At 44.2% G+C, this 22,861-nt stretch overlaps 1 protein-coding gene across 3 annotated transcripts in view; it reads right to left on the minus strand.

The window, feature by feature from the left end:
* The window catches only part of NSUN2 (NOP2/Sun RNA methyltransferase 2), a 33,806-nt gene continuing 13,769 nt past the window's right edge, over window positions 2,825–22,861 (minus strand). For all 3 annotated transcript variants that reach the window (NR_037947.2, NM_001193455.2, NM_017755.6), the window contains 12 exons: window positions 21,536–21,610; window positions 20,313–20,443; window positions 15,311–15,384; window positions 14,541–14,671; window positions 13,412–13,508; window positions 10,786–10,970; window positions 10,406–10,498; window positions 8,859–8,994; window positions 8,191–8,271; window positions 7,724–7,862; window positions 6,047–6,086; window positions 2,825–3,818 (listed from right to left, as the gene is read on the minus strand). Coding sequence is in view for 2 of the 3 variants with exons in the window: in NM_001193455.2 (NP_001180384.1) it covers window positions 3,512–3,818; window positions 6,047–6,086; window positions 7,724–7,862; window positions 8,191–8,271; window positions 8,859–8,994; window positions 10,406–10,498; window positions 10,786–10,970; window positions 13,412–13,508; window positions 14,541–14,671; window positions 15,311–15,384; window positions 20,313–20,443; window positions 21,536–21,610 (1,489 nt within the window). In the remaining variant the exon portion in view is untranslated. The remainder of the gene's footprint in view (window positions 3,819–6,046; window positions 6,087–7,723; window positions 7,863–8,190; window positions 8,272–8,858; window positions 8,995–10,405; window positions 10,499–10,785; window positions 10,971–13,411; window positions 13,509–14,540; window positions 14,672–15,310; window positions 15,385–20,312; window positions 20,444–21,535; window positions 21,611–22,861) is intronic.

Here is a 22,861-nt window from a genome sequence, read left to right on the forward strand (position 1 = left end):
GATTACCATGTTTTAATAGAGAGGGCCCCTGACTTACAATTCTCAACGCATGATTTTTTGGCTTTATGATGGTAGGAAAGCAACACATATTCAATAGAAACTGTACTTTGGATTTTGATCTCTACCTGGGCTGGTGATCTGTAGTCGATATCCTTGTGATGTGGGGCAATGGCCGAGTTGCTCCAACAGCCATACGATCACAAGGGTAAACAACCAACCCTCTGCAGGGGACTGTGTTGCCAGATGATTTTCCCAACTGTAGCATGGAAGTGTTCTGAGCATGCTGAAGGTAGTCTAGGTGTACTTAATGCACTTTGATGTAGGACATTTTCAACTAATGCTGGGCTTATCAAGACATAATCCCATCGTAAGCTGAAGAGCATCTGTATTTAAAATCTCCTTGTTAACACTGGCCAGCCCACATAGATGCCCTCCTCAGAGGCAACCAAAACTGTCAATTTCTTCTGTATCCTTCCAGTTACTTTACATAAATTCAAAAGCACATGTCTCCAAGCCTGTGTATTTTCCCCCTGTACACAATGGCAGCAGAATGCACATTCTTCTCTACACCTTGCGTTTCTTTCTTGGTGGTCACTGGACTCCAGGACACAGCGAGCTGCTTCAGCCCCTTTGCTGGCCAGTGTCCACGTGGGGGCTCTGCACCATTGGTGTCCCAGTGCCTCGTCATTGATGCTGAGGGCTTCCAGGTTTCTGCTATTAACAACATTGCATCAAATGACTCTGCAGACACATTTGACTCATCTGTGGGCCTGTGAAGTGGACTCGCTGGCTCAAAGTTGTCCTTCTTTTTAGGAAATTTATTTTATTCATCTACTCAACAGGTACGTCAAAGTTCAAAGGAAACAAAGAGTTTTCAGTAAAAAGTTTTTCTCCCATTTAAGCACCCCCACCAGAAGGCAACCACTACTCCCAACCTATGGGGCTGGCTACTTCAGAGAGGCCCTCATCAGAGACAACCCTGCTGGGTGGAAGCGAAAACTCCTTCAGCTGATGTCTTTTCTTCTGCCGTGCACTCTTCGGGAATCGGAAGACCCTTACCAAAATGCTGATTAAAGTTAGAGAAAGAAAATCCTCCATGTTAGGAGCAGTCTTCTCTTGAATGTTTCCTCAGGCTTATCCATACACCATAATAACTGTCCACCTTATTTATCAATTTTTAAGTTTTCTTCTCCCTGTGTGGTCTGTACTTGCTAGCTGCTATTCTGTTGTCTTTGACCCCTACATCCATCCAACACTGGAGGCTGCTCTGTGTCTGGTTACCCGGGGTTGCCTATTCTGACAAGGCAAGGTGCTCACAGGCAGTGCTGAGTGTGGGAGTGACTCCTCGCTTTGAGCGTCGCTACAGGGTGATAAGAGTGGGCTACTTCCCAGGAACCCTAAGGCCGCTATCTTTACGGCTTCTTTGAAGCTAGACAGTTTCCCCAGAGAAGCATCTTTCAACAATCCCCTTCTGTAGACCAAGATCTCACTGCCCTAAAAGTTCTGGGGGCTGAGGGAGGAGAAAGATGCTGAGAGCACTAAACCCATCCCCACACACCTGTGTGGCCCCCAGGTCCCCACCGTGCCCGGTGTCCCCAGTCCAGGGCCTGGACCAGCAAGTAGGATAAAGCACTGAAACTGACTGGAAACAGTTCCCACTGGCCAATGCCGGGACAATCTGAGAACCAAAATAAATGACAGTAATAATAAATAAATAACTGAATAAAACAGAATCCTTGAATCCGTACTGACAGAAAATGAATCAAGAAGCAAACAAAGGACAGAGGAGTGCTTATTCTATGTAATGAGAACTAATAATGTAGAAGTGATGAAAAATGGGGGAAAACAATTTGTAGCTGTCACAGTAAAAACTGGCTCAGGCAAATTATCAAGAAATACTAAAGCTGGCAGTTAAAAGTTTGATGAGAGAGAGGAATATAGTCTTGAAATGTCTCCTTGCACAATACTTACAAATTTTTCAGTGGAGAAACTTGGCAGACAGATACCATGTTACTAATAATAAAACAAACTTCACCACCACTATAAAGAGAAAACCCAACATCGTCAGCCTCCTGGCATGACGCAGCGAGAACACAGCACCACCTCTGTGGTCCTCCTGTCAAAAACGCACACATCACAGGGACACTTCAGACCAACCAAAACTGAAGCACATTCAGACTACCTGACCGGTACCCTGCAAGACTGTCTCAATCATAAAAGACAGACTGGGAACTGTTTCTGACGGTAGTGAACTCGAGACAAGACAGCCAAAGGCAACTGGTGTCACCCCAGACAAAATTGGACATTGTGACTGCAAAGGACATTACTGGGCCGCTGGAGCGAGCTTGCTGGTTTGAGGGTGACCTGCATCCACGTTTCTGACGCCTATGCTGCGAGCTGTAAAGAGGGCCTCTGTTTCCAGGAAACACCACAGGAGCAAGGGGGTAACGGAACACGTCTGTAACTTACTGTCAAAGGGTTCAGAAAACAATGAGTGACATGCAAGCACACCAGAGGATGCAAATGCAAATGTAGAGAAATGTTCAGTGGAGAATGTGGGCGAAAGAGAAATAGGAGCTCTTCACGCCACAGAGCTTGAAAGTATTCCACAGTGGAGACTCCAGAGACAAATCCACCAAAGGCAGTGTGTGGTCGGTGTTTGTACAGACCAACACACAAAATGAGGTAGACAGGAAGACAGCAGCCTTCACAGTAAAACCGCTTTCACTAGAGAAAATAAGGATGTATTCTAACACTGCCATTTAGCCAAAAGTAAGTTTGTTCTTTCTGCTTCCTAAGAGCAAAAACAGGAATCACACATGTATATATTTTATCAATTTTATTGAAATATTCCAAGGATCCCAACCCCATTTAAAAATAAAAATTGTAAAGCACTCCATTCAATAAAAGCACATAAGTCCCCCTCAATAATTAGTATGACAATTCACGATACAGCTCTTACTCTGGGAGAGTTTATTTTACCCTTTATTCCAAAAGGCACAAAGTCATCTGAGGCCTCAGATATTAACCCCACTGCATGTTAATGACACACCACTGAGGTGCAGCTCAATGTAATTATTAAAGCTTATAACACACTTCCCCAAGAATTTATAGATTCTTTCTATAAATAATAATTTAAAAAATACTGCACCTTAAGACCAATACAGGCTTAACAAAAGACCTGAAATTTCTGCAAGGGCAGTTTTGTTTCTTGATAGAAGTACAACTTTTGAAAGTCTATTCCCAGCAAAAGAAACACTAGACCCAGCTTGGCCAAAGAAACAAAATAAAACAAGTGATTTCTAACACGCTAAAAGAGTACATTTTCATCAGCTCCAAAGAAAGCAGTCCTGGTCATTCAGAAGGCTCCTATGATCCCACCAGTCTGCAGTCATTAGAAATATATGCTTTACAGGCCACAGGCTGCTCTGGATTTGGTTTCAGACACCAGTGACCAGAAGAAGCCAGTTTTGCGTGTGAGGGGTGTGGGCCCCCGCTGCCTTGGGCCTGCTCACCGGGGTGGATGGACCCCCGCCGGGTCACAGCCTGCTGTCACGTCTGGACTGTTGGCCTCTTCTGCATCTGGGCTGTTGGGCTCTCCTGCTCTCTGTCCCTCAGTCACGTCATTGTCTGGCTGTCCGGTGCTGGCTGCACTCTCATTTGTGAGGATAACCCCTTCCTTCTTCTTTTCTCCCAATACCTCCAGCCCCATCATCCTGAGATAATGAAGCCGTTCATTCTTGGGCACAAAAGTTCGAATGGAGGCCTTTCCCCGCCATCCGCATAAGACGATGGGACACTGCAGAGCGTCTGGATTCCTACAAGTGAAAGTGGCTTCATGTAGAACATTAAACATTCCCATAACTAAATCGAATGAGATGTAATATGCAACTGCTTAAAAAAGAAAACCACAGAAAACCCATACCCACAAAACCCCCAAAACTACTGGGAGGACATTTCATCTGGATCCGAGGGGTAGGTTTTCTCAAAGGACTTCCTTCTTCATGTCCTGAGTAAAATTCTCACCCTCGCTTTCGCCCTGCCTCTTTAAGTTCACAATGGAGTAGAGGCCCCAAATCTACAGATTTCACATACACTTTCTACATACTTCCTTCTCAAACTTAACTTACTGTCCCCGCCACCCCGTGTCACCTCACCCCACTAAATGAGAAGCGTTTCTCCACAGGCTCCCTGCAGCTCACCTCAAGTTTCCTAAGTGGACTGAAGCTCCTGAGAGGCTGGGAGACTCTGCCCTTAGCAGGGCGTCAGAGCAGGACCCAGGACCACCGGGAGACTCTGCCCTTAGCAGGGCTGCCAGAGCAGAACCCAGGACCACTCATCCTTTTGATACTCAGTGTTAGCGTGATTTCTTCTCCAGGGACCCCACATGGCAGTCTGAGCCCTGCTGGGCACACAGTGCTCATTTCCGTTCCCAGCATGCAGTGTTACCCACAGTCAAAAACATCCCTGCCTCTCTGAACATGCTCCGAGCCTCCCTACCTTCCAGGCTCCACCTGTCCAGCCAGGAGGCATCGACGCCCCAGCAGAGATGGACGCCACCATTTCCAACCTGCACACGCCCTCTCTCAACTTATCTGATTTCTTTCATACGGGACTCTGACCTAGATTTTAGGCTCCTAACGGCCGTGTTTAATCACCTTTCCATTTTTCCTAATGTAAAGCAGGGGCACAAAGGTGGTTTTAAGAAGTGAGAGGAAAATATAAGAAATTCCCAACTCCCATCTTCTTAAAAAAAAAAAACCATTATTCCTGAAGTTGACCTGTCACCTGTGTATTTCACCAAGTAGAAACAAGTGTTTAAATATGGAAAAGTGAATCCACACCTTAAAATATCCCAATATTTTCTATGTGGGCCACATGGGACTGTTATTTTAAAAACCATTTCTGAGTCTTTGTTCAAACTCTCGTTAAAAACACCCAGAAGCCATCAATCACTAGATGCTCCTGCCCGTTCACCATCCAGACACCATCCGCCTCCAGCAGGTCCCCAGGGTGCTCATGCGCTCGGCCTCGCTGACCTCTCCAGCCCATCCATCTGTTGTTCCCTCACCAAGTTCCTGCCCCTCCCACCTCAGCCCCCACCTGTCCTCTCTCCACATGGCAGCCGGACAGCCTGAACCCTGAGGACATGTGGCCCCTCGGCCTCCCTGCCAACCTCTTACCTATCCCTCCTCCTTCCCTACTTGGCTGGGCCCGCCCCGACCCCCAGCTTGCACCTGCCTCAGGATCTGCGCTTTGGTGGTTCCTTCAAGTTAGCACTGGATCCCTGGTCCAACACTAACTTCCCAAAGAAATCTGTACAGTGGTTCTACCTATTCACTCCCCCAAATCCCAGTCAGCCGTGGACCCCATTCTGTTTCCTCCTCTCAGAAATGGTGTTGCATGTCACCAAGACGGAGCTGTTGCAGGTGAGATCCGAATTCTGCCACTCGTGAGCTGAGGAGCTCTGGGCAAGCCACCTAACTTTCTGTCCCGGCTTCCTCCTCTGGCAAGTGCTGCCAAAACCAGCACCTGCTCCCCCAAGGCCCCCCACAAGGATGCAGCGTGAATACATGCAAGCAGCGTGGAGCAGTGGTCCCGTGGGGACCGTGAGTGCAAGCGTGAGCAAATCCCATGCTCCGGCCCTAGCACTCCTGATGCAGTAACATGTCAGCAACACACATGGCTGAACCAGCCATGAGGACAAAAGAACGGAACCTCACTCAACTGTCCAATCTTCACACTTACTCTGTACAAGACAGAAATTTTCATTGGTTTCTAATGCTTAAAAAATAAGTACTATGCATTTTATTCTCTGTAAGTAAAAATTCACTTAGCCTGAGCTGAGTGTTCTATGAAACAGCATCTTCATGATGACCTACAGGAATATTTTGGTTCTGAAGTTTTCACAAGGCTACTTCTGAGGAACAATCACAAAAGGCCTGAAGAAGGTTCCCACCTTCCCAAGTCACTTTCCTCACCAACGAGAACACTGTAGCTAATGACAAGGCGTGTGTGTCTAAGGGCAGGGCGTGTACTGACTTACGCAGAATCTGGTTCATACTTCAGCACGATGCTTCCCTTTGCTGGAAAAGAAACAGACACACATTTGCCAGGTTTTCCAGGTAGTGGATGCATGCGCTGAGCACATTTCTGCACCTAGTGATGTGTTAAGTATTCTGAAGAAAGAAAACAACAAATAATCTACATTCTTGGCTTCAAGGATCTAGATGGTGAAAAGAGGCCGTCTGGATACATGAACCAAGTCCAAATGACGCAGTAGGGACGATCTGGAAGAGGACCCAGGCAAAAGCCATTCAGGGACTTCAAGGGATGTCACCTGACAATCCACTCTGAGAAGCAAGGAGGCTGGGGATTAACTGCTGGTTAATTCTTCAAAATTCAAAATTAAATAAACTATAACACCAACTCCCAGAATGGCATGAAATACATAAAAATTGTCTAAAACAATACTGCAATCATCTAAGTGCAGGATTAAAAGAAAACCAGTATAAACAGGTCCTTTATCCTTTACAAGAATCTCTACTTTAAATTGTGGTTCTTGCCTGGAGACGGCAGTGGGAGACAGACTCCACAGAGCATGTTTTATATCCCAAAGGAACCACACGAGTAAGTTTTAAACGCAAGTAAGAAACGTAACTGCAAGAAGTGATTCACGTACTTTTGATCAAATTGAGCCAAAAATATTAAACAGCAAGTTATTTAAAAAAATAAACAAGAATGAAGACAACAGAAAGAAAATTAGAACAGCTTGGAGAAATGATTTTTATGCTTAGGGGAAAACGTCACTGGAGTGATCTGAAGTGGAAGTTGATGAAATATAAAAGCAGCAATATGACCAATAATCTACTCCAGCTGGCTAGCAGAAAAGTCAGAACTGCTGGCAAGACTCTTATTTTGCTCTAACACAGGTGATTAAAATCTGCATGTTAGCCAGTCTCGTGAGGCTGTGTACCTTAAAAAACAAATTTACTGGCTGGGCGCGGTGGCCCACGCCTGTAATCCCAGCACTTTGGGAGGCTGAGACAGGCAGATCACAAGGTCAGGAGATTGAGACCATCCTGGCTAACACGGTGAAACCCCGTCTCTACTAAAAATACAAAAAATTAGCTGGGCGTGGTGGCGGGTGCTTGTAGTCCCAGCTACTTGGGAGGCTGGGGCAGGAGAATGGCTGAACCTGGGAGGCGGAGCTTGCAGTGAGCCGAGATCGTGCCACTGTACTCCAGCCTGGGTGACAGAGCGAGACTCTGTCTCAAAACAAAAAAAGAAAAAAACAAATTTGCTCATGCACAGAGACCTGCTTCCACCCACCCCCGACCTGCTGACAGGCAAGTGGGTCAAGAGCTCTGGCTGGGAGGCTTGCCAGGGCTGCTCACAGGCTGACCCCTCCTCTCCCCGGACTCTCTGGCCCAGCAAGGTGAGCAAAGGCCAGCCCTGCACGCCACACAGACACACCACAGGCTGCTGGGCAGCAGCAGGGCACCACCAGAGCCTGGGGAAGTACACCAACCCCAAGATGCCTTTGACCCTTAGCATTCTGAACTGTCAATCAGGGATCTACAGAACCCTCTGGAAATTGATGTAGCCATAAATAAACTGAAAACTATGATTGATAAATATGCCCCAACGCACACCACCTGCATTTTTGCTGGCCTTATAAAGGGAATACAAGTTATGTCTCTATGCATTTCCAACTACTCACCCAGGTCCTTTGCTTGACTGTAGGTCTCACTGCTGAGTTTTCTAAAAAAGGGATTTTCCTGGGTCAACAGTATCTTAACATCTTCCATTGATACAGTAATAATTCTTGAGTTAATAAATGGATACAATGTATATATTCCCTGTGTGAATAAAGAGAATGAGAGAACAGATACCATGATGTCATTCATGAACGACAACAGCCTGCTCTCAGGGGCTATGCTCTTAGCGGCTATGGTGGTCGAGCCCTCACTATGGCCCCTCCCCTTGGACAGGTGTGGAACCCACCCCCCCCTAGGAGGGGAAACCAGCACTCTGGGAGAGCTCTATAACCTGTGAGGGTCAAGTGGCTGGTAGGTGCCAGCCAAGCCCTGAGCCACTCAGACCATCTGGCTGACCAGCAAGCCCATCTACTCCCGACTGCTTCAGTCATCTGTGGCTACTGCTGTTCAAATCCACTTCCAAAATTACCTCCTGTGCCAGCCGGAAAGCACAGTCAAACTCTTCACCGCTGTTATTTCTACACCAGACTTTGATCCCCGTGTTAATAACCTGTAAGTAAAAAAATAAGATGAAACACAGAGAGATGAAGACAGGACCATCTCCTGTAAGGATGCCGGGCCACATGGAGCAACCGTCACGGAATGGGAAAGGAGAGGAGAAGCAGAAACCCACCGAGAAACCCCGGTTAAGAACGAACTGATACTCACAACTTGTGATTACGTCGTTTGGAGGACAGTAAAGCAAATGAAAGAAGGGCCCCCAAATGGCCAAATTCTAAGGGAAGTACCTCAAAGGACAAATCCCAAGGGTCGGGGCAGCAGTACTCGCAGCCTCTACACCTTTAGTACCTTCTCTGCCCAGGAGGGCGAGCTGTGAGAACTACACCATGGCTCACCCCCCTGCGGGAATGGGGCACAGAAAAGACACAGGCCACCAGATTCAGGACTCTGGCAGGAACCATTCAGCCCTGTGTCAGTCAACAGCTCTGAAATCAAAGGGCAGGCTCAGGGACCCACAGCCAGCGCTACAGGTGGGGAGGGCAGATGTCACGGTCTGCTCCAAATGAAATCTAAGCCGCTGTGAAAAGCCACACGCATCCCGCATCACACAGCACTCAGCGTCTGTGCGGCTGGCACCTTCATCTTCTCACTGTTATTCAGCAGCACATTCCGCAACTCCTTAGAAACCATGTAGAGCTGCCTTTTCTTCCCTTCTGTAGTCCGAGTTAACAAATTCATCCTTGGGAATGAAGGATCCAAAGCATAAAATTTCCTGTACATAACAACATTGTTGTTTATCCACAATGAGTTCAAAATCTGGTAGACTGTTTCTAAACATCTTATTCTCCTCCTCCAGAATTCAATCCCCAAAACTGCAGTGTGGTTCAAGGGCACTGGGCTCTGCTCTGGACTCCAGCTTCTAAACTTCATCCACTTCCACCTGAAACCTCCACGTAACATTTATTTGGGGCACAACTCCATCAGAAACCTAAATTAACAAGTGCAGCTTCTCTCCCTCAGCCGCTACTCCAATGATAATGACCTGATAACACTACTTTTGAGACTTTTTTTTTTTTTTTGATATGGAGTCTTGCTCTGTCTTCCAAGCTGGAGTGCAGTGGCGCAGTCTCAGCTCACTGCAACCTCTGCCTCCCGGGTTGAAGCGGTTCTCCTGCCTCAGCCTGAGTAGCTGTGATTATAGGTGCACGCCACCACACCTAATTTTTTTTTGTATTTTTAGTAAAGACGGGGTTTCACCACATTGGTCAGACTGGTCTCAAACTCCTAACCTCATGATCTGCCTGCCTCAGCCTCCCCAAGTGCTGGGATGTGCCCGGCTGAGACTTATTTTTTAATAGACTTTTACAAATGTATGCAAAGGACCAGTTATTAAAAAAGACAGTAAGTGACCGCCCTGGTAAATAGATTCTAAAATTCAATGAATAAGAAACAGATGAATGTCAGACTTGTCCTAAACCCTTTTCCTCTATATTCTGTCTATGTCATCCCTAATTAGCCCTCACCCATGCTGCTCTTCATTTCTTCTACAGAAACTGAACTAGACAACCTTGGCTACTCGTCTATATACTCAATTGAGTAATTTAGGTTCAGGATCACAACTAATTTAGATTCATAATCACAGTCCAGTTTTCTTTTGTTTTTTTTGAGACGGAGTCTCGCTCTGTCGCCCAGGCTGGAGTGCAGCGGCGCGATCTCGGCTCACTGCAAGCTCCACCTCCCAGGTTCACGCCATTCTCCTGCCTCAGCCTCCAGAGTAGCTGGGACTACAGGTGCCCGCCACCACGCCCGGCTAATTTTTTTTGTATTTTTAGTAGAGACGGGGTTTCACCGTGTCAGCCAGGATGGTCTCAATCTCCTGACCTCGTGCTCCGCCCGTCTCGGCCTCCCAAAGTGCTGGGATTACAGCCGTGAGCCACCGCGCCCGGTCCAGTTTTTTTTTATCTATCATGTTCACAAAGTAAAAGTTTACTTTCTCCTTAAATTAAAAGATTGAGTAACCTCTAAAGTTTCATCCTGCTCTAATATGCAGTTAAAAAGGTTAAAAAAAAAAAAAAAGCTAGACAGAACTACATACAAAACAATGGTTACATGTGATCAGTTGTACATTTGATACTCTATAGTAAATTTCTTTAAATGAATAATTAAAAAGGCTGAATCCTTACTCAATAGGTGGAAATAATGGGTCATCTTCAGGAATAAATACAAATGGATCTTCTTTAAATCCAAATAACTTCATTTTCTTTGATGGAGGAGGACTAAAAAGGGAATCAGGATGAGACAAATCAATCTGTAATGTGTGGTAACCTTCAATACCAAAAGCACATTCTTCCTTTCTGTCAGTTCTGTGCAACATGGAACGGTTTGCGGCAGATGTTGAAACCTTCCGGCTTCCACAGAGTCCAGCCCTCACACTGCATGTGCCTGATACCACACATGTACTGCCCCCTCAAACCGACCAAGAAGTGGCTCTGGGATCCCATTTAATCCAAAAGGACTGTGAAGACACCAGCGTATTAGATCAAGACATAACCACTTTTCTTACCCACACACGCCATCTTTCTTACTGCCATTATTCTCTAAATCCTCAGTTGCATGAGCTATTTCTGTGTCACCAGTTCCTGTGAATGACGGACTTTCCAGCTTAGAGGGATCTGTGGGTTTCCCTTCTGTGAGATCTGCAGGGCTCAGCTGTGTGCTTTCTCTGGTCTCTGCAGATTTACCCTGAAGCTGTCATAAAGAACAATTTCATTGACACACAAAGAGGAGCATTCTTTGTGCTGCTACGAAAAGTTAAAAATACCACGTTCACAAAATCCATCAGTTATATTTTTCTACAGCATTATATGTAGAGAAAGACAACAGAATTTTTTTAAAGTGTCATTTTAAATCTACTTGCTATTATAAACAAAATTCATGGACAGTTTCTTTGGAGTTAAAGCTGATTCTACCTTAATCCCACAAAGAGCATATACAGCCTGTTCCTTAGCAGAGGCCTACACCACCAGCTTGTTCTCGTGTAAAAATGCTTATCGTGCATCTGCTCTGGGTAAGGCACACTGAAGGACACAAAGTGCACCAAGCACGATTTCTAAAATACCCGGCAGGGGCAAAAAGACAAGTATATAAATAACGAGAAAGGAGGGTATGAATTGTTCTTGGGCACCTGGACAAACTGCCACAGGAACTGGGAGAAAGAGAGAGTGCCCCAGGCACCAAGGAAACACCTGCCAAAGAATGAACTTCTGAATTAGGGCCATGGTATAATTTAAATTTGGCTTTGGGAATGAGCAAAATGTTTTACTTAAAGATCTTTAAAAAATACATGTCCTTTTTAACATTTTAACAGGTCACAAAATTGATAAAAGTCGTAATTCCTCAGTCCCTATGAAGTAAGTTTAAAAATTAGGATATTTCAACACAGGCAAGTTCATTTTACTCAGAGCCACAAAGCTACTGAGCAGAGAAGCCGGGAGCATCCCAGGGAACACCTTTTATTTCCATGTTAATATAATGTAAAAAAGCAAAAACCAAAACAGATGAACCCCAAGCCTGTGAGCAAGTCAGTGAGGGCACACGCCCTTCCTGTCCAACCTCAGCTTCCCCCAGAGGGGCCTTCTTGTTGAGTCCAGCTCCAAGGGCATGTTCTCCCATCTCTGTTCTACCTCAACAACCTCATTCTGGGACCTTCAAATACCAAGGTCAGTGTGAGCTTCCCTGGCCTAACTTCTAGCCAAGTGCTTACAGGCCTCAGCACCACAACAGAACACGGCATCCTGACCATGGAGACTCTACCTGCGTTCCCAGTAGGACCAACAGCAGCACAGGCCATGCTAGCACTAGATCTGTTGAACTAAGTGAATAAGAAACTGACATAGTAACAGAAAGAGAGAAGTATTCATATTATTTAAACGAGAAAATGACAATAAGTTGTTCTAAAAAGTAAGACTATACATAAGGGGCTAATTGAAAAAATGTCAAAACCTTTCTATGTAAGTATTAACACGTCAGAAACATCAATGTAAGCCCTAATGCAGGCCAACCTAAAGCACGCGTCTCTAAGACAGGCTCCTCTGTGACTGCACTGTGCTCTGCAGCTGGGCAGCCACAAGCCTGTGGTCACTGACCACTTAAAATGTGACAAGCGCAAAGTCTAAAACACAAGCTACTGAAACCTAGTATGAATGAATGCAAAGTATCTAATACTTTACAATATAATTTCTTATACTGATTCCATGAAAATAACATTCCATCAGCGTTAAGATACCTTGTGAGACTTTTAGCCTCAAAGTGAAATACTTTCTAACCTGACAGAAAAACCCTGGTGGCGGCAGAAGTGCAGTCGCCCCCTTTGCCCGTCTGAGGCTGTACGTTCCAACGTTAAACTGCACAAACCGTGCCCCAGAAAAAGGCTGGAGCTCTTTGCGGAACTGTTTCCTTTTTGTTCCTCCAAAGCTAAGCGTTTTTTGTCCTAATTTTCAAGCATGGATCTTAAAGAAATACAGACTTCCAGACTTTGATTCCAGGCCAGGTTCTTTCATCATGGAAGGCTGATTTATGAACTAATAAATAATGCTGGCGTGATACAGGTGAGACAGCACGCATTACAAAGGACTGCGTGTTAGGATGAGGGCAACACTCCTTCACCACTGTTTCCTGGCCTGCCTTGGAAAGGAACCAGCAGGCAGTTTAGATCCATAGCAAACAGGCCGGGCTGCATCTTTCTAGCCAGGTCTGGACAAGGCCGTCATCATTCCTTGCAGCCAAGGTGAACCCGGGCTGGCTTGGGGTCAGCAGAGCTCTGCTATCTGTAATTGGTGAAATGAACCACTCACAAGGAACTAGAGCACAGAAACCTGGGGCTTCCAATTGAGAGCCACAGAGCAATCTTTCATGTCTTTTCAATTTTTATTAAATAACTGGATTTACAGTGTGGCAGGAATACATTCCCCCAAACACTGACTTCTCCACTTACCTATCACCTATGAGAAATTTCTGCTTTTTGGAAAACTTGATATTTAAATGAAATTCCCCCTCATTCAGGGTCAGCTCTCCTGCTGCCCACAGCAAGAAGCTCCTCTTTCCTCTGTACTTCTACTAAACTCCGGTTAGTTTTTGTCTTAAATGTACAAGATCAAATGTTATGTCATTTTGGAAAAAGAAAAACTCACCTTTGGCTGACGTTTATTCCACGGCATTGAAGATTTTTTCACCAATACTGCCACAAAAAACCCTCCAGTATTCTGATGATGGGGTAATATCCTAAGGCTAAATATATATATATAATTCACACCTCTGAACTAATCAAAAATGCATTCTTTTACTATTAAGACAAATACCGCAAAGATGATACAAGAGAAAAATCATGTCTTCGACCCTCACTCATAGAATGGCCAATATGTAAACTTAAATTTTTTTTTTTTTTTTGAGTCAAGGTCTGGATCTGTTGCCTAGGCTGGAGTGCAGTGGTGTGATCTCAACCCACTGTAGCCTCCGCCTCCTGGGCTCAGGAGATCCTCCTGCCTCAGCCTCCCAAGGAGCTGGGACTACAGGCATGCAACACACTGCCTGGCCAGTTTTTGTATTTTTCTTTTTTTTTTTCTGTAGAGATGGGGTCTTGCCATGTCGTCCAGGCTGGTCTCAAACTTTTGAGCTCAAGTGATCCATCAGCCTTGGCCTCCCAAAGTGCTGGGGATTACAGGATTGGGCCACTGCACCTGGCCCACTTTGTAATCTTTAAAAAGTTCATGACGGCTGGGCACAGTGGCTCATGCCTGTAATCCCAGCACTTTGGGAGGCCGAGGTGGGCAGATAACCTGAGGTTGGGAGTTCAACACCAGCCTGGCCAACGTGGTGAAACCCTGTCTCTACTAATAAAAATACAAAAATTAGCCAGGCATGCACCTGTAATCCCAGCTACTTGGGAGGCTGAGGCACGAGAATTGCTTGAACCCAGGAGGCAGAGGTTGCAGTGAGCCGAGATCGAGCTACTACACTCCAGCCTGGATGACAGAGTGAGACTCTCTCTCAAAAAAAAAAAAAAAAAGTTCATGAAGTACCCTAAGCATTACCATTTAGATTCTAGCCAATTTCACTATTAATAAATGCTCAATGCCAGCAACAGGCACAAGAGCCATACTGGCTGGGAAGTTCACACACATGGGGTTGACCCTGGCATAACCCAAGCCTCACAGCAATGTCACCTGCTGCCTCCAACTCACCCCAACAAGACTCACCAGCTCACCAGGGATGGGGCTTAACCTTCCCCCCTCCCCACACCTGGAGGCCCCACCAGCTCACCATCGCTCCAGGTGCATGGCCTGCAGCTTTTCTGGGTCCTTCGGAGGGAACATGGTAGGTCGGATCTGGGTGTGTCTGCTGTGAGGAACAGCGTCCCAGTCTGTAAACCACTGCCCATCTTTCGTCATTACCTGCAGAACCACAGGGTACATTCCAGATTACTAGCACTATCCAATACCAACAAAAATCACAGGGCAGGAGTATCCATTCTCTCAAAGGTGACAAATGGTGATTCTCATTCACTCCAAAGATAGGAAGATTATTTGCCAAGACAAAACAAAACAATCTTTACAGAAAATCCCCAAATTATTAATACATAAATTCTGTTAAAAACAAAGATGAAATACATTTATTCTAAAAACCAGGACAAGCATTATAAAATAACATTTTCCATCTAGTTTTTTTCTTTTTAAACAAGCCTCAGGCTGTTTCTGGCCTAAAATTGTAATGAATTACTTCATATTGGAAACAAGGCTTGAATCCCGGCCCAATTTAAAAAAAAAAAAAAAAAGCAAAGCTACCCTTACAGGGATGAGAGTAAAAGAGTTTATTTCTGTACGTGGAGAAAAAAAAACTTTTCCACTGCCAGGAATAAACATGCCACTTGTCATGAAATGTGTCATGAAATAACACTCCGAAATTGATTCTAATTGGCATAACCAGATGTAGTATTTATTCAAGTTACTCACACGTGAATGCTTTGAAACTTGACTCTACTTCAGTGATGCTGCACCTACTCTTTAGAATGAAAGTTCTCGAGGAAAGGTTACCTTCCACTGTGTGATTCCAGGCATCCACTTCAGCCCTGGCAGTTCATTAGACACATCAGCAAGCTCCAAAGCACCTGTGCAGCAAAAGCATGGACGTCTTTTGTTTTTCAAAAAAGTATTAACACACTATGCTCAGTGAAAAAAACCAGACACAGATCACATATTATATGATTCCATGTACAGAAAATGTCCAGGGAAGGCAAACCCGTCGACAGAAAGTGGATGAGTGGCCGACGGGGTGGATGAGTGGCCGATGGGGCTCAGCTGGAATGGGGAGCAAGTGCTGTTGGGCAGGAAAGGTCTGCTAGGGTGACGGGAACGGCCTAAAGCTGGACTGTGGTAAGGCGCTGCCAACTGAGTAAACTTACTAAAAATCACTGAACCGTACACTTAAAATGAGCAAACATTAACAATATGTAAACGACAGCTCAATAAAGTTGTTCCAATGACAGGGCATTGAGGAGTCCTGCCACAGACGCGAGACTAACTCCGCAAGAAGACAACCAGAAGGCTGGGCTGCAGGACGCCTGCTCCGTCTCCCCATTCCAATGCACACCAGGGCGATGCTGCAGGTCTTCACGCAGGCATGTCTAACAAACATCCCAGAGCAATGCTGAAAATGAACTATGGGAATTTTTAAACCTCAAGTTCGTGGTCCCAGGAAGTTTCCTAAAATTGCCCATCGGGACACAGTCAGCCCAGTTTTAAAAACAATGCGATAAGAGCTGTGAAAACACACTGGCCTTAAGTGTCCATACCAGTGACACAATAAGAAGCTATAAGGTGAGGCCATTACAGGAAACCAGTGAGACCAGCTACTAGCACAGATACTGATGTGACAGCCTCTCAGCAGAGGAAAATTCAACAAATCTCCCAGAAAACATGAAAATGGGACAATTACAAAAACAAAGGAAAAGAATCTCCAAGGTGGAGGAATGGCAGTAAGAAACCTTTGAAGCAAGCATCGTACTGACTTCTGCCATCATTTCTGAATCCTCTTCCTTTTAAAAGCTAACAGTAAATGACAGTGCAGGCAAACATGCGGGCTTCTCCATCAAACACTGTCCAGGGGCTTCACAGATGAGCAGGGCAGGCAGCAGGTGTTATCTCCACACCCCAGCACCTGGGTTGGAAGCTGCCAATGCTACCCCATGTTGCCCCTTCTCCAGTAAAGTTGTTGAGCACTTTCAGGTGGGGAACGCACACCCCCTCCAGTCAAAATCACCAGCAACCACCCACTCTAAGGCTCAGCCAAGGTCTGCTCCTTCCTGCATAAAGCCATATCCATGCACACCGCCTCTGACAGAGAAAAGGGAGGAAGCATCTACAATACGGTCTGAAGCCACCCACATGCAAAAAGTTGGCTGTGACATCATACTGTACACAGGTCCATGCTGGAAACCCACCTGTCCAGTAAGAAAATGACTACAGAATAGGAGACTCACTGAATGAAGTAATTCATTTTTGACACTTGCTAACAGGAAAAACTACTATGACATATTGGAATGTTAGGTGAAAAAGCAGGGTATTTAAGATATACACAACACAATCAAAACTATTCAACACAGTGAAGACTAGAGGAAAAGTTGCAAAAAGCAATGCAGTTACTTGAAGGAAAAGAATCCATGTACTTTTTTTCTAAATATGAATGCCCTTATACTTAAAACCCACTGGCCAAACGGTGCTGGCTGTTCTTTGAAATCTCCTATGTGGAGGCAGAAGCCAGCCCCTGACCAAGAACTCCCTCCACCCCCAAGGTATCTCCCCTGGCATCTCAGAAAGCTAAAATGATTCCAAAATTTGAATAAAGAACCTGAGCATACTGTCTCCTTTCTTGTCTTGCAGTGAAGCTTGCCCTTAGAACAAAGCTCAACTGCATGCCATAGTCTAACACCTTCTGTGACCTGTGACAATGAGGAGATAAGCCTCATTTTAAAGGTAAGTATCTGAAAGCATATCATCTGCTCTATTGGTAATAAAGGTGCGATTTTGGCCTTGGTCTGCCTTGCTCCATTACCTTGTCAATTGGTTCAGAAGCTGGACAGGGAAAGAGGGTGTTATTTACTGGGCTTTCAAAAGAAAGCCTGCCAGGCCAGGCATGGTGGCTCACACCTGTAATCCCAGCACTTTGGGAGGCCGAGGTGGGAAGACTGCCTGAAGTCAGGAGTTTGAGACCAGCCTGGCCAACATGGTGAAACCCCGTCTCTACTAAAAATACAAAAATTGGCTGGGCGTGGTGGCACATGCCTGTAGTCCCAGCTACTCGGGAGGCTGAGGCAGGAGAATCACTTAACCCGGGAGATGGAGGTTGCAGTGAGCCGAGATGGCGCCACTGCACTCCAGCCTGGGCAACAGAGCGAGACTGTCTCGGAAAAAAAAAAAAAAAAAAAAAAAAAAACCCACAACACACACATATAGACAGACATAAAGCCAACTAGAGCCACAAATTTGGTGAAGTCTGAAAAGATCTGCAAGCGTTCACTCAGAAAACCAGCAGTAACATTCTAAATACAAGAAAAAGAACCAGCCAGCCAGTCTGAAAATCAGAAAGACCAATGAAAATCCACAATCAAGAAAGGTTTCAGACCGGATGAAGACGAACCCATCAGTACCCCAGGACAATCCCACATCTGCTCATCCCTCCTCACAATCCTGATCACCAGCATTCCCGTTTTCTTTTTCACCCTGCAGCTCTTCCTCACTCCCCCGTGCCTGGGTCACGCTTGCTCATTCTTAACTTTCGAACATGGTGCACTGTGTGTGAGGTTCTGTCCACTCTTCCCTTAGAGATCAGTGGGTTTTCAGGAGAATGATGGTTCCCCACTGCTGCTGGAAAGAGAGACCCATGGGAATGAGAACTAGAACTTGGATTCAACCTGCTTTCAGATGACAACCCCTCACGAAGCCACTCCTTCAAACGTTGGCACGTTCAGGAAATGGGTGAGGGTGGCAGAAGCATCCAGAGCTCCAGGCAAGTAACCCGGTCTGACAGCACAGCCAGCCCACAGAGCACACAGCATGTTCTCTGAGCGGGGACAATTTTGCGGTAATGAGACAGGCAAACAGCAAGTATCTCCAATGTGAGGAAAGAAAGCCCGGTGGACTCAGGCCAGCAAGTCCTGCCTGCAAAGAGTGACTCCAGCCACGAGTGAGGACAGGCTTGTGTGGACAAGAGCCTCTCTCACCTAAGAACTCAGGAGACCTGGCTTTTGGTCCCAGCCAAAAGCTTACAAGAGAAAAAGGAGCAAAATTAAACACCTAGAGTACTTAACTAGCCAACACAGACTTAGGAGAGTAGCAAATGCTTAAAGAATCTACAAACATTTGAAGCTAAGCAGCACAAGATGGGGCTGTGACCACTCACCCCAAGTCAAGAAAGCTGCTCACCGAGAAACCGGGGGAAGCTGTCTTTACAAAAGACAAAGAGCACCAGCCAAGAATGCAGTGAGTGCGCCCAGGAACTGGGGCCCACCCTCAAGTCTGAGTCGTAAATGGCAACTAGGCATGCAAATTAATAAATGCAGTCCATTTTCTTTCTCAGGGATCTGAAAGCAGACTGTGGCAAGGGAAACAGGAGGTGTCTGTGCTGCTCAAGCTGCCTGGAATCATGGTTTCCTAAATTCCTAGCTAATGAACACAAAAATCTGAGCAGGATTCAACAGTCCTAACAACTGACCCCAAATCACACTTGAAGGTGTAATTTCATTACAACTAAACTATTATGTGCCCCATACTCCCCCTCACACACCTTTTGGAATAAAGTATCACCAACACCATGGCAATTATGACCATGCAAGAAAACATCACCCAGAAATGACATCTTTACAGAGGTCTACATGAGCACAGGAAAATAAACACAACATTACATTCCAGCTTAAAGGACCGTGAAGGCCATCAACAACCGCAGGGCTGAGGGCACAACCCAGACCAGCCAGCCGCCAAGGGGAGCCTCACTGGAAGGACAGCAGCAGGTGGGCACTGCCCAGGAAAGGCCTCTCTCACTGACTATGCACCAACTGACTTCACACACGTGGGTGCAGGAAACATGCTAAGTTTGAAATTTCTCATTATTGGCTCTAAGGAAAATATGATGGGAAAAGTTAACATTCTGGCAAAACATAAAAGGAGAAATATTTTATATCAATACACTGTAGAAATACACTACTGTTTCAGAATATTCTGTACTATCTGTCAGTTCCTCAGTATAAAACTGTATGAGGTGACCTCACACCCATTAGGATGGCTACTAACAACAAAGAGCCCCAGATAATAAGTGTCCCTGAATGTGTAGAGAAATTGGAACCCTTGTGCACTGGGGGTAGAAATACAAAATGACGCAGCCACTGTGAAAAAAAGCATGGTGGGGTCCCCCCAAAATTAAACACAGAATTACTATATGATCATATGATCCAGCCATTCAACTTCTGAGTGTATATCCAAAGAATCGTAACCAGGATCTTGGAGAGGTATTTGTATACCATGCTCACAGCAGCATGGCTCACAACAGCCAAAAAGTGGAAGAAACCCAGATGTCCATCAACAGATGGATGGGTAAACAAAATGCGGTTTATATAAACAACAGAATAGTGTTCAGCCTTAATAAGCAATGCAATTTTGACACAGACAACAACACAAGTGAGCCTCAAGGACGCTGCAGTAAGTTAAATAAGCCAGTCACGAAAAGACAAATACAGTATGATTCCGCTTCTGTGAGGTCTAGAGTAGTCAAAGTCATACAGACAAAAAATAGAACGGTGGTGTGAGGGGCAGGGAAGAGAGAGATGGGAGCTACTGTTTAAAGGAGTTCAGAGTTTCAGTTTTGCAAGGTGAAGATTTCTGGAGATGGATGGTGGTGGTGATTAACAATGGGAATATACCTAACGGGACTGAACTGCAGGCTCAAAAATGATTAAGATGGTAAACCTCACGTTATGTGTATTGTACCATACACATATGAAAAGCCCCCTATGCTGTTAATAAAAGATCCATCAAGCGTGCTTACCTTCACTTTTTTCCAGTAAAGATGCTATGACTGCTTCATCCTCAATAGGGTTTAGTGAACACGTGGAATACACCATCCTTCCACCTTCAGCCAGCTGTTCAGCCCCGCGTGTTGCAATCCGCAGCTGTAAGCTAAGGGGAGATATCAGATGACTGCAAGGCCAAATGTATCCATGAAGTGCACATATTAGAAGCACCTCCTTATGTCACATATTCATTACAAGCTTTTATAACACAATTATACTTAAAAAAAACCTTCCAGGGATCTAAATGAAGTTAGAGTAAACTTATATAAAGTGTTTCATGTTAATAAAAAAAATGTATTATATAAATATTCTTACTGCTCTGTTAACCTTTCCCAATATGTCAACCAGCAGAGTATAAAGTTCAGTAACAACAGAATTCAATGTATTAGATGAAATTTCACTATTTAAAAAACCTCCATACTTCCTAAATATGTGGTTTTTCTATGAAAAATTGGTATCATACATTCCAGTCCTAACTCTTGTCTCTGTGTCACAAAACAGTAGACAGTATTTTATGGAGACGAGGCCTCCTGCTATAGTTGGTTGTGGTGGATGCTAATTAGTATTCTGTGGCTCAGGCACAGTACAGTCCTGCATGCAAGACCATGGCATTTGTCATGTCAAATGAAAAAAAGAATACACTGCTCTACAGACAGCATGATCAAAAGTATTTGGAAAAAGTACTTAAAAAATCCCTGTAAACAGAAAAACAATACAACACACCAAACATTAACAGACGTGATCATCGTGTTATGAGATTTCTCTTTAAGAATTTTCCAATTGTTCTTTAATGAATAGTTCCCCATCATAAAAAGCCAACCGAAAAATATTTCTAAGAGATCAAAATGTCTCTTAGCAAAACGATGATACAAAAGAACAAAAACAGAGAGAAAAGATTAGTAATGCATACATCAAGAGGTAAACGGTCATTTCATGGAAAAATACATATCTGAAGTGTTGCAAGAAATTTTTATAGAAGGCATTTTTAATAAACGTGTTATCTGAAATGTATACAATTTGCAGTTATTGCTCTTGAAAGGTTTTCAAATAACTTCTGATAAAACAGTTGAAGGTGGCCATTGACCATCCTCTGATGCTTACAGCTCTCTAATTAAAGATCGGATGCTCACTTGCATAACAATAAATCTCTGCTGATCTACTTGTCACACAGTGTTAGCAGTGATGAAGTTTTACTTACCCATGTAGCTGCAAGCTATTTAAGGTGGTCCACTTTTTCCAAACATCAATGTTTTTTCTCATAGTGCCGTCTCCACTGGAAAAAAGATATTTATGAGTGCAAAGCTCCCTACAGGTGGATGACTGCACTTTAACAGATATGTCACATACAAGCTAAGTTACAAAACAAGTGTTACAAATATCAGTTAGGAAACAATCTCCATTTTCACCAACTGCAATCTGCTTTCAGCTTTTGTTTTAGGGATTTTCTAATGTATTATAGTTTTAAATTATACTTCAATTTTCAAGCAGAAAATAATGGATTTGAACAGTAAACTCCATTCACTAAGGAGATATTAATGTGCTTCCATTTGGAAAAAACACTAGCAAGACTAATTTGCAGACCTAGGACACAGAACCTAAAATACTATTGAAAATCTCAGTTAATCAACAATGACACTTTAATCAGAATTACATGAATAATGACTAATAAGAAATTTTCCACAGTTAAGCTAATATATTAGCTAAATTTTTCCTACAATCACAGGTAAACATTTCTGACTTTCTACTTTTATTTAATGGAAGTTATTTTCATGTTTTTCAGAACCTAAAATACTATTGAAAAACTCAGTTAATCAACAATGGCATTTTAATCAGAATTATATGAATAATGACTAATAAATTTTCCATAGTAATTTCAATTAAGCTAATATAATAGCTAAATTTTTCTTACTAATAGCTAAATTTTTCTTACAATCACCGTTAAATTTCTGACTTTCTACTTTTATTTAATGGAAGTTATTTTCATGTTTTTGTTAATGGAAGCTCTTTCCATGTATATTTTATAGTAAAGACTGGATTTGTTACTTTCTGTGTCTAATTTTATCTGCCCTGTTTTCCCAGAAGGTAACGCCTGTTTTTGTTGGCTTTCTCTGTAAATGCTGATTTTCCTTGATGGTCTAGCCGCGTGTACACGAGGGACTAGGTCTGCAGGATGGAATTATCCCATGAGATGTAATCCCCACTTTGCAATGGCATTCCTGGCTGTACACTAGTTGTTTGCATGGTAGAAATCCCACCACAATTTCAGAAATTTCCCCAGCTTGCAACCTCTTGCTCATAAGGTCACTGCGTTCTCAGATCTCAGAATATGATACAAGGAACGAGTTATCTTTCTGATCAAAAAACAGGGGTAGGAAAACATGAGACCCCAAGGAATACTGAAAAATTGCAACCTAGAGGAAAAAAAAACTTTAGTTCATGATGTATTTTAAATTTTACTTTAAAGAGGGCTTTTTCCAGATTATTTTAACACTCAGCTATATTCAGAGCCACCAGCTGCAAGTTT

The sequence above is a fragment of the Homo sapiens genome, chromosome 5 (genome assembly GCF_000001405.40).
Source record: "Homo sapiens chromosome 5, GRCh38.p14 Primary Assembly".
NCBI classification, from domain to species: Eukaryota; Metazoa; Chordata; class Mammalia; order Primates; family Hominidae; genus Homo; species Homo sapiens.